This window comes from Homo sapiens, chromosome X (genome assembly GCF_000001405.40).
Source record: "Homo sapiens chromosome X, GRCh38.p14 Primary Assembly".
Taxonomy (NCBI): Eukaryota; Metazoa; Chordata; class Mammalia; order Primates; family Hominidae; genus Homo; species Homo sapiens.
Window position 1 is genome coordinate 55,622,469 of NC_000023.11, and position 15,184 is coordinate 55,637,652.

The 15,184-nt window shown below is 40.4% G+C and overlaps 1 protein-coding gene and 1 pseudogene across 1 annotated transcript; one reads left to right on the forward strand and one right to left on the reverse strand.

Annotated features, from left to right (window-relative positions):
* On the forward strand, positions 932-3,724 carry FOXR2 (forkhead box R2). Its single transcript, NM_198451.4, has one exon. The coding sequence runs from the start codon at positions 1,244-1,246 to the stop codon at positions 2,177-2,179; it is 936 nt and encodes a 311-aa protein (NP_940853.1). The 5' UTR covers positions 932-1,243; the 3' UTR covers positions 2,180-3,724.
* Positions 10,354-13,188, reverse strand: LOC107985642 (X antigen family member 3-like; annotated as a pseudogene).
* Between the last annotated feature and the right edge of the window lie 1,996 nt (positions 13,189-15,184).

Consider the following 15,184-nt stretch of genomic DNA (forward strand, 5'->3'; position numbering starts at 1 on the left):
ATAATTAACAGTTGGTACAACTGTTGTGTTGTTTTTTGTATTTATGCTGTAGAAAGACAACTCAGGCCACTTGTATGAAAGATTAGAGTAGAAGAGAACCAGAGTATGGAAACAATATGGAGATTAAAGTGCCTCTCCAATAGCTCCCATTGACATTTGCTGGATATGTTTGCAACATAGTCCTATGTAGTGATTTTAATGATATCGCATACTTTACACATGGATTTTGTGCAAACTGAATTAAAGGAAACCTTGCCATTTTATTTTTCTTACAAATGTCCTGGGTGTGAACTTACTGGAAATAGAACCTCTGGGGCTTTCAGGACCTTGCATACTGTGGCTAAATTTTGGTCCTACTGTTCAGAGTATAGTTCAGAACTCATTTCCTAAGAAGGTGACCTGGAGAGAGGAAAGCCAGCTGTTTCCCAGAAAAGGATTGAAAACGGCAGCAAGGTTAGATTCTAGTATCAGTATGAGAATAATAGAGGCCATGTTCTGATAGTTACCATCTTACTATAAAACTCAGGTTGCACATATTACTGCCTGTTGTATATCGTATGTTGAGTATGATCAAGAGGCAATGCGTATAGTGAAAATAAAAGATCTGGGCTGTGGATCTAGCTCTCCTACTTACTCATGTCTGTATATCTCAGTTGCCATGTCTGTGACATGAGGATAATAATACCATGTTATCTTGCAGGGCTGTGATGAAAATCAGTTGAGATCATCTATGTGAAAGCACTTAACCAAAATCCAAAGGCACTCGATGAATGAAATGATTTTTAAAACCATTAAGGAAGACTCAGAAATATAATGTGATCTATACATATGTTTGTCCCTTCCTTAAATGAACTCATCAAGGGTTTAAATATGTGCCAGATGATCACCTATTATGCAAGTCACCATAGTTTGCACATAATTCAGTTTATAATTCCTCTTGAAGTGACTTTCTGCTTCCAATCAAAGCTCAAGAATTCCACCTAAAAATGTTTTTCTGCTCAAAAGCTCTTTTTTATTACTTCCATGTTTTGAGCCTTGTTCCAGAAAGCTGAGGTTTCTCCAGGTCTGACCACTAATCAGTGAGACATTGGTGCCTCTTTCTTCAGTGCTTCTAGCAGGCCTACTGATAAGCTCCCTAGATGAGATACACTGCATAAAAAAATGATGCCCAAAGGACAGCTTTAAGTGCCTGCTAGATATCTGTTCTTTCAGAAGTCTCTCTCCACCTATCTCTCCAGTAAAGATGGACTTAAAACTAAAAGACTGTGAATTTTGGTATAGTCTCCATGGCCAGGTCCCAGGGCTGCTGGACTGGGACATGAGGAATGAGTTATTTCTGCCTTGTACCACAGACCAGTGCTCTTTAGCTGAGCAAATCCTTGCCAAATACAGAGTCGGAGTAATGAAGCCCCCAGAAATGCCTCAGAAGAGGAGACCCAGTCCTGATGGAGATGGTCCTCCCTGTGAACCCAATCTGTGGATGTGGGTGGACCCCAATATCCTGTGCCCCCTTGGCAGCCAGGAGGCCCCAAAGCCCAGTGGAAAAGAGGATCTGACAAACATTTCTCCTTTCCCTCAGCCCCCACAAAAAGACGAAGGGTCTAACTGCTCAGAGGACAAAGTGGTAGAGTCTCTGCCATCTTCCTCCAGTGAGCAGTCTCCTTTACAGAAGCAGGGTATCCATTCCCCCAGTGACTTTGAGCTCACAGAAGAGGAGGCTGAGGAACCAGACGACAACTCCCTCCAGTCCCCTGAAATGAAATGTTACCAGAGCCAGAAACTATGGCAAATCAACAACCAAGAGAAGTCCTGGCAAAGGCCCCCTCTCAATTGTAGCCACCTTATTGCCCTAGCATTAAGAAACAACCCCCACTGTGGCCTCAGTGTGCAGGAGATCTACAATTTCACCCGACAGCATTTCCCCTTTTTCTGGACAGCTCCGGATGGCTGGAAGAGCACCATTCATTACAACCTCTGCTTCCTGGACAGCTTTGAGAAGGTGCCAGACAGCCTTAAGGATGAAGATAATGCAAGACCTCGCTCTTGCCTTTGGAAGCTCACTAAGGAGGGGCACCGCCGCTTTTGGGAGGAGACTCGTGTCTTAGCCTTTGCTCAAAGGGAGAGAATCCAAGAGTGCATGAGTCAGCCAGAGTTGTTGACCTCTCTCTTTGATCTTTGAAATGCCATTGCTCCCTTTTGGAACACTGCCTTCCTTACTGTGCCTACTTATCCCCTGACATTCATTAATCTCTAAACTTACCCAGCCTGGTTGGTGCCAAGTCTGTCTTTAGCTACTGTTACAATAATGGTGTTAAGTAAAGTTAGAGGTGGGTACAGGGGAGACAGAACTTAAATCCAGGTGGAGAGTCATGGAAAGTCGCACGAGGAGAGTGGCTGTTGTTCCAAATTTTGAGCAAAGGAAAAGAAATCCTAGAAACAATGGCATAGAAACTAAGGAAAGAAGGGTGTGTTTTGTGAAAGAAAGGAATTTTGTTTATAGAGAGTATTTTCACACATGAAAGTGAACAGTGGAATATAAAGCATAAAAGGCAGGATGGAGCCGAGCCATGGAGAACCTCGAGTGCCATGTGAAGAGAATTTGACTTGTGATGAAGAATCAAGTTTCCCCTTCTACCATTCATCAGCTACATCTCCTTTTTAAGTAACCCATTTTATCCTTCAGAACCTCACTTTTCTATTTCTGGCCCTGGACTTCTAAGCCTTGTTTCTTTGTCATCCAATTCCAATATTGACAAATAATTCTAAACAGCTACTTTTAGTTTGTATGTTTAACGTCCTGTGAAATATTCCTGTATTAACCCCAAGCCTTTTGATGATAAAGCTTTATTTTCTATTATTTTTAGTTCTCAAGATTTTATTGAGGATATGCTAATGTGTCAAGGTCCATCTTAGATGCTGAGGATAAAAAGCTGAGGGATACTAGTGGGAGACATATTTATAATGTAAATATGATGAAACAGATGTGAGAAATTGACATGGAAATGGGGAGACATTCTTCCTGGGAAAGACATGAAAGGGCATTGGAAAAAATACATTTTGAGCTAGTTTTGAAGAATAAATGGCAAACTGGAGTAGAGGCATTACAGAGACAACAATGTGAACAAAGTGGATGGAGTGTTTGGGGGAATGGCATGAAGTTCAGTGTGACTTAACTACATGAGGACCGTGAGTGACTAAGAGAAAACTATTAGGTGTTTGGACTTCATCTTGTGGGTTTTTAGGAGCCAAGAGACATCAGTGGAGTTTTGCTAAAAAACAAAAAAAGAAACAAGCCAGCAGCAACAACAAACACTACAGCATTTGTTTTTCTAATTTCAAAATTATCTTTAACATCTTTTCTATGCAAATAAACTTTTGTTTATCAGATTTAAGCATAGCTTTTTGCTTCAATGATATTAACATATATCCAGGAGAAAATAGATTTTTAGGTATAAATTTAGTTGCAAAACCTTCATAATGGGGGTACAAAAACGCCTGTAAGCTACAAAAGCAATTAATTCAATATAATTGTAACTATTTTCAAAGTTCACATTTTTATAATGATGTATTATACCTCATACAAAATTGTATATTTAGGTTAAATCACAAAACAACATATGCAAACAGTATTTTTTGAAAAAAATTGTAAATGCTACTTCTGTATCATAAGGCAAAGACCAAGTTAACAGAATACCTTGGAATTAATAAAATATTCTGCATATAAGTAGTCACCAGTTGCTTCTCATTTTTCTCCCAGATTAACACTTACTAGTAAAAGAGCTGGATGTGAAATTAATGAGACTATTTTTATCACAAACTACACTTCTAATATGCCTAGTCTGTAAACTTCTCAAACAAGGCAAGCTTTCATTTTTAGAACTAGACCTGGAGTTTTCTGCTGCAACCTGGTACCTCTGAGCTTTGAACTCTATTCAGTATTTTCTGATCCTTATTTCTGCTCTCTGGTTGCATGAAAAAAAGCAGTGGCTGGATATGGTGCTTCTTCAGTAATGTCATGATCCAGATATACCTTCAGAGGAACTTTTTAAAAAAATTATAAATTGCTGTAATCGAGTGCAAAATAAAGGAAACTTGAGTTGCTTCATTCAGCTTCCAATTTCTAGGAGGCTTAAGAATCATAAGAATTCTGGATAACAAAAGAAAATAAGACTGTGCTTATAGAGCTTGTTCTGCCGTATTTTTTCTTAATGATTGCTACTTTATTGTTGCTTTTCCTGTTACATGTGATGTATGCATCAGGTGTTAAAAGGTACAATACTTTCTACAACTGAGCACCTTTTTCTGTAAATGAACAAGCAAAGAAATTACACTGAACATCTGCATCTGGCAGTATGTTTTGGAAAAATGACTAAAAATGGGTTTAAATTTAACACTATTAAATCACATCTAATATTTGATACTACACGATTCAATACAGCTATAAAATACAATTATACAAAATATGTTAACATCAAAGAATACAACTAAAATTAAGATAGCAAACACAACCTATATAACTTCTTTTTATAGGAAAATATTTTTGAAGTATGCATGTAGCTGCCCATTCTTTTAAAGAAAATGTACTGCAAGCAAACTTATCAAACTCCAGAAAAATCACACATAGCATTACTAAGCATATCCCCCAAAGTGTACAATATGCACATTTGGAAAACACAAAATTTAAAAAATTGTAAACAACAGGTGAGCTTCGTATTTACAACAATGTGAAAAGAAGTCCCATTTTTAACACTGTTGTATAAAGAATTGTCTTTATGTGAAGACCAAATCTACGTTTGATTGGTGTACCTGAAAGTGATGGGGAGAATGGAACAAAGTTGGAAAACACTCTTCAGGATATTATCCAGGAGAACTTCCCCAACTTAGCAAGGCAAGCCAACATTCAAATTCAGGAAATACAGAGAACACCACAAAGATACGCCAGGAGAAGAGGAACCCCAAGACACATAATGGCCAGATTCACCAAGGTTGAAATGAAGGAAAAAATGTTAAGGGCAGCCATAGAGAAAGGTCGGGCTACTGACAAAGGAAAGCCCATTAGACTAACAGCAGAACCATCGGCAGAAACACTATAAGCCAGAAGAGAGTGGGGGCCAATATTCAACATTCTTGAAGAAAAGAATTTTCAACCCAGAATTTCATATCCAGCCAAACTAAGCTTCAAACTAAGCTGAGAGATTTTGTCACCAGCAGGCCTGCCTTATAAGAGCTCCTGAAGGAAGCACTAAACATGGAAAGAAACAACTGGTAGAAGCCACTGCAAAAACATGCCAATTTGTAGAGACCGTCAATGCTAGGAAGAAACTGCATCAACTAACGGGCAAAATAACCAGCTAACATCATAATGACAGGATCAAATTCACACATAACAATATTAACTGATGAGTCAAGATCCATCAGTGTGCTGTATTCAGGAGACCCAACTCACGTGCAAAGACACACATAGGCTCAAAATAAAAGGATGGAGGAAGATCTACCAAGCAAATGGAAAGCAAAAAAAGCAGGGGTTGCAATCCTAGTCTCTGATAAAACAGACTTTAAACCAACAAAGATCAAAAGAGACGAAGAAGACCATTACATAAAGGTAAAGGGAACAATTCAACAAGAAGAGCTAACTATCCTAAATATGTATGCACCAAATACAGGAGCACCCAGATTCATAAAGCAAGTCCTTAGAGACCTACAAAGAGACTTAGACTCCCACACAATAATAATGGGAGAATTTAACACCCCACTGTCAACATTAGACAGATCAACGAGACAGAAGGTCAACAAGGATATCCAGGACTTGAACTCAGCTCTGAAACAAGCAGACCTAATAGACATCTACAGAACTCTCCACCCCAAATTAACAGAATATACATTCTTCTCAGAACCACATTGCCCTTATTCCAAAATTGACCACATAGTTGGAAGTAAAGCACTCCTTAACAAATGTAAAAGAACAGAAATCATGACCAACTGTCTCTCAGACCACAGTGCAATCAAATTAGAACTCAGGATTAAGAAACCCACTCTAAACCACACAACCACATGGAAACTGAACGACCTGCCGCTGAATGACTACTCAGTAAATAACGAAATGCAGGCAGAAATAAAGATGTTCTTTGAAAACAATGACAACGATGACACAACATATCAGAATCTCTGGGATACATTTAAAGTAGTATGTAGAGGGAAATTTATAGCACTAAATGCCCACAAGAGAAAGCAGGAAAGATCTAAAATTGACACCCTAAAATCACAATTAAAAGAACTAGAGAAGAAAGAGCAAACAAATTCAAAAGCTAACAGAAGGCGAGAAATTAAGATCAGAGCAGAACTGAAGGAGATAGAGATACAAGAAAACCTGCCAAAAATCAATGAATCCAGTAGCTGGTTTTTTGAAAAGATCAACAACATTGATAGACCACTAGCAAGACTAATAAAGAAGAAAAGAGAGAAGAATCAAATAGACACAATAAAAAATGATAAAGGGGATATCACCACCAATCCCACAGAAATAGAAACTACCATCAGAGAATACTGTAAACACCTCTATGCCAATAAACTAGAAAATCTAGAAGAAATGGATAAATTCCTGGACACATACACCCTCCCAAGACTAAACCAGGAAGAAGTTGAATCACTGAATAGACCAATAAGAGGCTCTGAAATTGAGGCAATAATTAATAGCCTACCAACCAAAACAAGTCGAGGGCCACATGGATTCACAGCCGAATTCTACCAGAGGTACAAAGAGGAGCTGGTACCATTCCTTCTGAAACTATTCCAATCAATAGAAAAAGAGGGAATCCTCCCTAACTCATTTTATGAGGCCAGCATCATCCTGATACCAAAGCCTGGCAGAGGAACTAGAAAAAGAGACTTTTAATCCAATATCCATGATAAACATTAATGAGAAAATCCCCAATAAAATACTGGCAAACTGAATCCAGCAGCACATCAAAAAGCTTATCCACCATGATCAAGTGGGCTTCATCCCTGGGATGCAAGGCTGGTTCAACACATGCAAATCAATAAACATAATCCATCACAAAAAAAGAATCAATGACAAAAACCACATGATTATCTCAATAGATGCAGAAAAGGCCTTTGACAAAATTCAACAACTCTTCATGCTAAAAACTCTCAATAAACTAGGTATTGATGGAACGTATTTCAAAATAATAAGAGCTATTTATGACAAACCCATAGTCAATATCATACTGAATGGAGAAAAACTGAAGTCATTCCCTTTGAAAACTGGCACAAGGCAGGGATGCCCTCTCTCACCACTCCTATTCAACATAGTGTTGGAAGTTCTGTCCAGGGCAATCAGGCAGGAGAAAGAAATAAAGGGTATTCAATTAGGAAAAGAGGAAGTCAAATTGTCCCTGTTTGCAGATGACATGATTGTATATTTAGAAAACCCCATCTTCTCAGCCCAAAATCTCCTTAAGCTGATAAGCAACTTCAGCAAAGTCTCAGGATACAAAATCAATGTGCAAAAATCATAAGCATTCCTATACACCAGTAACAGACAGAGAGCCAAATCATGAGTGAACTCCCATTCACAATTGCTTCAAAGAGAATAAAATACCTAGGAATGTAACTTACAAGGGACGTGAAGGACCTCTTCAAGGAGAACTACAAACCACTTCTCAACAAAATAAAAGAGGACAAAAACAATGGAAGAACATTCCATGCTCATGGATAGGAAGAATCAATATCTTGAAAGTGGCCATAATGCCCAAGGCAATTTATAGATTCAATGCCATCGCCATCAAACTACGAATGACTTTCTTCACAGAATTGGAAAAAAACTACTTTAAAGTTCATATGGAACCAAAAAAGAGCCTGCATTGCCAAGACAATCCTAAGCCGAAAGAACAAAGCTGGAGGCATCACGCTACCTGACTTCAATCTATACTACAAGGCTACAGTAACCAAAACATCATGGTACTGGTACCAAAACAGAGATATAGGCCAATGGAACAGAACAGAGGCCTCAGAAATAACAACTCACATATACAACCACCTGTCTTTGACAAACCTGTCCATAAAAAGAAATGGGGAAATGATTCCCTATTTAATAAATGGTGCTGGGAAAACTGGCTAGTCATATGTAGAAAGCTGAAACTCGATCCCTTCCTTACACCTTATACAAAAATTAATTAAACATTAGACCTAAAGCCATGAAAACCCTAGAAGAAAACCTGGGCAATACCATTCAGGACATAGGCAAGAGCAAAGACTTCATGACTAAAACACCAAAAGAAATGGCAACAAAAGCCAAAATAGACAAATGGGATCTAATTAAACTAAAGAGTTTCTGCACAGCAAAAGAAACTACCATCAGATTGAACAGGCAACCTACAGAATGGGAGAAAATTTTTGCAATCTACCCATCTGACATAGGGCTAATATCCAGATCCAGAATCTACAAAGAATTTAAACAAATTTACAAGAAAAAAACAACCGCATCAAAAAGTGGGCAAAGGACATGAATAGACAGTTCTCAAAAGAATACATTTATGCAGCCTCATCATCACTGGTCATCAGAGTAATGCAAATCAGAACCACAATGTGATACCATCTCACACCAGTTAGAATGGCAATCATTAAAAAGTCAGGAGACAACAGATGCTGGAGAAGTTGTGGAGAAATAGGAATGCTTTTACACTATTGGCGGGCGTGTAAATTATTTCAACCATTGTGGTAGATAGTGTGGCGATTCCTCAAGGATCTAGAACTAGAAATACCATTTGATCCAGTGATCCCATTACTGTGTATATACCCAAAGGATTATGAATCATGCTACCATAAAGACACATGCACATGTATGTTTATTGCGGCACTCCTCACAATAGCAAAGACTTGGAACCAACCCATATGTCCATCAGTGATAAACTGGATTAAGAAAATGTGGCACATATACACCATGGAATACTATGCAGCCATAAAAAAGGATGAGTTCATGTCCTTCGCAGGGACATGGATGCAGCTGGAAACCATCATTCTCAGGAAACTATCACAAGGACAAAAAACCAAACACTGCATGTTCTCACTCATAGGTAGGAATTGAACAATGAGAACACATAGACACAGGAAGGGGAACATCACACACTGGGGCCTGTCGGGGGGTGTGGGGCTGGGGGAGGGATAGCATTAGGAGAAATATCTAATGTAAATGATGAATTGATGGGTGCAACAAACCAACATGGCACATGTATACCTATGTATCAAACCTTCACATTGTGCACGTGTACCCTAGAACTTATAGTACAATAATAAAAAAAAGAAATTAATTCTAGACAAAGGAAAGACTATAACCTTCCTAAGAATACGGTTGAGGCTGCTTCAACAGGCTCCTGGAAATAGAGTGAAAGCTATCTTTCAATGTAAATGGTCTAATGGAATGGTTCAGCAGTGTAGAGTGAAAGCATTTAGGTAATTTCTTCCCTAAATATGGAATGCTTCCTTGAAATTCCGAAGCTCCTCTAATTAACAGTCAGCAATTTGGAAAATATGTGTAAAAGATACTTTTGTCGACTACTCATGAATTAGGACGTTATGGTCTTTGAACTTTAAATTGTATCATCTGATGTCTCAAGGCAGAAACCTGTAATATGTAACCTATGGTAGGGTTAGAGATGATTCTATCATATGTGCCTTCAATCTAATTACACACAGTAGCTCATGAAGACTGACAGGAAGACAGGGAGCATGCTTAGCACAGGCATCTTATACCCACCTTGAACATCACTGACCTACATGCATGCTCCCTACTACATCAGCCACAGAAACCTGACTGTCTCTTGCCATTTTATTATTCAGTCACTCAAGGGTTCACTGCAGAAAGGATTTAAAATGCAATTATTCTTTAAGAGTCAGAGAATTTAAAATTTAACAAAATCCAAGAACAGTCATTTGGGTCTTCATACAGGAAAGAAAACATCAAGCAGGTTGCTCACTTAGGAACCATGAAATCTCAACTCAGATATTATAACTGGAGTGAAATTGATTGTTAGGAAAAATCATAACTTTGTATTCTATCCAACAGAACATGAAAATACGGAAATCAACCTTGAAACAGATTTTAATATACCTGATTTGCGTTTACTATTTTCAATAACAGAAGAAGATGGGTGTAGAATTTATGGAATTCACCCAAAATCTCACAAATTGTGTTAGATCTGGTACTAGAACCTCCTTCAGTACTCAGCATATTTCACACAAAGTGGTATTACAAATGTATTATGTATTTATTAAAAGCAGAAATTGAAAATAATCTGAAAATTGTTAGTTGTTGGTTATAGTCACAAGTAAGAAAATGCTTTCATATTTGATGATTCAATATGGCTTTGACCCCATTTGTTTCTGTATCTGATAGTGTTTAAGTCTTCCAGTCAGGCATTTGGGGTCGGAACAACTTTTCAAAGAAAGCCTGCATTTGAATTGTGTTTTTAAAGGGGCAGTAATATTCTCTCTTTTTATTATCAAAAGTATAGTATTGTGAAAAACAGAAAGCATGTAATTTTGCCTCTTAATGGATAGCATACCTCCTTCTGGCATTTTAAATTGCTCTAAATTTAGCAGAATTTTCTCCTGGACATCAGGACCATCTCTGCATTCATCCCCAGTCTTTGACTCAGACAGCTCCTGGAGATCAGTTTCCAGGTCAGGCACTAAAAAATACAAAGGTTCTTGATTGAAGCAGGCAAACAAGAAAGGCAAATAAGGAAATGATAGTATTCTTTTCCTCAGCGTTATGAAATAAAAGCCCGTGGACTACTGTGCTAATAAATGTCATGTAAAGATGTCACACTTTTGTTTTCCTGTATTATAAGATCTTATCTTAAATGACAGTCTGAGGATAAATCACACCACACCTACATTTCGCATACTTTACCATTGTGTATTATGAACAGTGAATATCGACTAAGAAATCTGAAGTCTGGATAAATTTTAATCATAAATGAAATGCAATTTTCTAAAGGATTAGATCAATGTATTTGGCTGCTTATGAGAAATCTTACAATTGAACTCCCATCCCTTGTTGAGGTAACTTGAAAATTATTTGGATAAAGTTAGTTAACGTTATGCTTAGGTTCAAGGGCCCTATATGTAAGTTTATATAAATGAATCACATTTAGAATAATGTACCAAAATAACAGGAAACTAACTGTCTTCCAGTGAGGGCACAGGAAATTGAGTGCAAAGAAATTAGTGGTCATCGTTGACAGTTATATTCTGGAAACCTCTTAACAATGAATTGCTAAAATAATCCACTTCCCAAATTCTGCCAATGTTTAGTGTGAAAATGGTATCCACTGAGTAAACAACTTCTGATTCAGCTTATGGTACTTTGAGTTTTCTAATTATGAAAATGCTTCGGAAACTTTTAAAAGCCCCTTCAAAATCATACTAATATAGCGACCTGTATGCCAGTGTCCTGAATTATCCACCTTTTACCAAACATCCTGAAAAAATACCAATCAAAGGATACCACTCTAAGAGTGGCTGTCATTTATTGAGCTCTTTTCTGGAGTTGCTATTCTGCTTCATTGGACTGTGTTTTGTCCTGAGCCAATACTGAAGTACCTTACAGTACACACACATTCAAAAAGTATCTTAAGCAAAACCACTGACCTTTCTTATTACAACATGGATAACACAAACCTTGGGACAAAATATGAATTTTGTCTCCATGAGTCAAGGGTTCTTGGTAAACCTCAATCCCTGAGCCTCAATTTTCCTATTTATAAAATGGGGCTAACATCCCTATGCAAATGGGCTTTATTCAGGGTGTTACAAGGTAGGATGACTTGGCACTCTACATGCTATTAAAGGGTGTTTATAGCACTGTTGATGCAATGGCTTAGAAGATCATAAAGCAACATTCTAAGAAGAACACATTAAACAAGTGAAATACTGCATATTTTTATACATAAAATTAAACTGCTTCATCTGATTTAGCAAGGACTATATTTTCAAGCATACAAAATACATCCTGAAGAAAAAGAAAATATTCGTTACATCCAGGGACTGCATGAAGCTGCAAACTATACCCTTCGCTTTTCCAGCGAACTTTCAGCAAGTGTTTGAGATCCTTTCCTAATGTTTTCTTTCCTCCTGTTACTGGTCATGACGTAAGGCATGATGCACACATAGGCCTCCTCCCCACCATAGACATTCTTTCTTTCCCTTCCCAGCACCTTGAATCTCAGCTGCACCCTGATCTCTCTCCTGACCAGGTGTAGGATCCCAACTTTCAGTTGGTGGTTCTTGTTGTTGAGGCTCCTCATCACTGGGCTCCTGGGACCATGGCTGCATGTGTACAAATAAAAAGTTTTGTTATCAATACATGTCAATAATGTAAATATACAGAATACATAGATATTTCTGATCATAAGTAAGTCTAAAGACATTTCTCCAACACTATTCCATGTACTTATTATTCATAAAGTTATTCTTCCCACAGAGAGGTTACTCTAAGACAGAATTACCCTCAAGGGCTTTGGAAGGTGATTTAATCTATGTTGGGATGGATGTGTGCAATCTGTTATGAATAAGCATACGGAGGAAGTCATGGGCAAAATCTGGGGAACACAGGGTTATCCATCCAGGCAAAACCAGAATGTACGCCAGGTACAGTGGCTCTGGCCTGTAATCCCAGCACTTTGGGAGGCCGAGGCAGGTGCATTCCCTGAGCTGAGGAGTTTGAGACCAGCCTGGGCAACACGGGGTCTCTAGTAAAATACAAAATGAAATTAGCTGGACATGGCGGCATGCGCCTGTAGTCCCAGCTACTCGGGAGGCTGAGGCAGGAGAATTGCTTGAACCCGGGAGGCAGAAGCTGCAGTCGCCAAGCCTGGGCGACAAAGCAAGACTTCGTCTCCAAACAAACAAACAAACAAAAACAACCAAAAAAACAAAACAAAAAACAGAACATAATCCTCTTGGATTGGTCTTTCCTTCATGAGATGCCATGATCATTGTTTATCAGCTTGGAAGACCTTTAACAGTGTATATATACTAGTTCAACAACACTATCACAAAAAGAAATTTCTGCTAATAGAAAACAACGAATGTTAAAGCATTCACAAGCATAGGCCTAATCAGCTCAGGAGTTTGTAAACTTCATCTTGGTCTAGGCCTACGTGTTGATCTTCCTCACCAGATTATATTTCACTCTGCAAAGAGAATACAAAAATACTGTGATTGGGAAAATAGACTTGAGAGGATAGCTATATTTGAGCACTTCCATGGCCAAATGTTAACTTGTCATTTTTTTAAAGTTTGGAAATACTTTGAAGGTAAGTCCCAGGGCAAGTATAACTTTGTGTGCCTTCTGAATAGAATGCTTGCACAGTCACTTAAGGTGGTGAAGCTAGCCAAATAATGCCTTAAGGCTCCTGGCAAGAGTCACTGGATATCTCTGATGTGGTTTGAGGCATTTCTGGGACTCAGATACCTCCAACAGCACCCACAACACGTGCCCCATTTTAACCCGATCCCCTTTGCGCCAAGGCCCTCCTTCCTTCCTAGTTGTGGCCCTGACAAAAAAGAAGGCCCCTGGCTGTGGCGCCATGTGAAAAGGATGAAGACCTCCAGGCCCTTCTCCCTCTGAGTCTCCCTCCCCCTGATGACCCTCTGGAAGCCTGCTGGCTCCTCCTCACCCTCACTCACACTTCAACTCCCAGTTGGATTGGCCTGTGGACCTACCTGCTGCGTCTCAGTAGGAGAGAAAGAATCCAGACCTCAGGAACTTGACCTCACAGCTCCAGGGAATTCACCACGTGGGCGAACGGGTAGAGTAGAAGATGCTCAGTGAACATGCGCACTGAGGTGGGCGCCCAAAGAGCATGCGCAGTGAGATGTGTGCTTGCCTTAGGGGCTGTGGTGTCCCTCCTTGTTCCCCCTACCCCTGCTCTTTCCTCCATCCCTTCCTAGGACCCCACTAAGGACTTTGGAATCCATCCTCCCTTGTGTGTTTTTTTTATGCCTCTGAGACTCAAATATCTCAATATCACCGTTCAAAACTCACTCTGTGTTCACCTGACCCTCCTGCCCTCTATGGCCCTTGTTCCTCCCTTGTCTGGGCCCCTCAAGGGAGCAAGTGCATGGTGGTGTTGCTGACTTCTAGTAGAAGGATGAGGATCTCTATCAGGCCGTGGACCAAGTGGCCCAACCCATCGAAGTCTGCTCACTTTCCCTCATGTTCACTCACACTCAACTTCTGGGAGGACTGATCTATGGACCTATCTGATGTGTTATAGTTAGCAAGAAAGAAGTCACAACATTTCCTCCCACAGCTCTGCAGGGACAGAAGGCAGAGAGCATGGCCCACAGGGAACAGGAATTTGCATAGGAAGGGACATGCACATTGAGCCAGGGACTTTCAGGGAATGCCAGAGTTTTCCCTCTGTCACCATGATAGCAGCAGCCACTGCCATCATACTGGCTGCAGCAGGGAAGCCCAGCCAGAGCTGCATGCTCTGTGGAGCCAGCAAAAGCCAGGGACAAGTGGGATCCCCACCTTTTACAAGTTGGGGAGGGAGCCCCTGGGTGCCCCTGCAGCCACCCAAACTGCAGTTGAAGACCCAGACTTCTGGCTCTATGGAGCAGGCAGGATCCCTGCCCTCCTGGGTGCAGCTGTAGCCACTGGATCCATGGCTGCAGACCCAGGAGCTGGGGACAAGTGGGAGCCCCAACCCTTCAGAGTTGGCGGGTCAGGAGCTCCTTGGGTGCAGCTGCAACTTCCCTCCAAGGTGCAGGACCCAGGTGTGTCTGTAGCCTGCAATCTCTGAAGCCTGGGAAGGCCCCCACTGTCCCTGGGGAGCAGGGAACAGGGGACACTGTCCCTGGGGAGCAGGCTCAGAGGTGTCTGCTCCCACTACCTGGTCTCTCCCTGCTCCCAGCACCCACTATGATTTCAGAGCAGGTTGTGGGCTGAGCCCCTGCACTCTCACAGCTCAGATGGGCTTGCACATGGGCAGGTCAGCCCTGGAATGCCAGCCCCCTGCCACCTCAGACCCCTCCAGAATTTGGGTGCCAAGAAACATGAGAGGGGAAGCCAAGGGGGTGCTGAGGGCAGCTGGGTAGTGCTCTGCAGGTCCGAGCAGCCTGGGCACCATGGACTGCAGTGGGAGGCAGACAGGGTCCAGAGCAGAAGGGGGTG

What these genes read in the sequence shown, in the direction of transcription:
- FOXR2 (NM_198451.4), top strand. Translation starts at nt 1,244, where the DNA reads ATGGACTTAAAACTAAAAGACTGTGAATTTTGGTATAGTCTCCATGGC.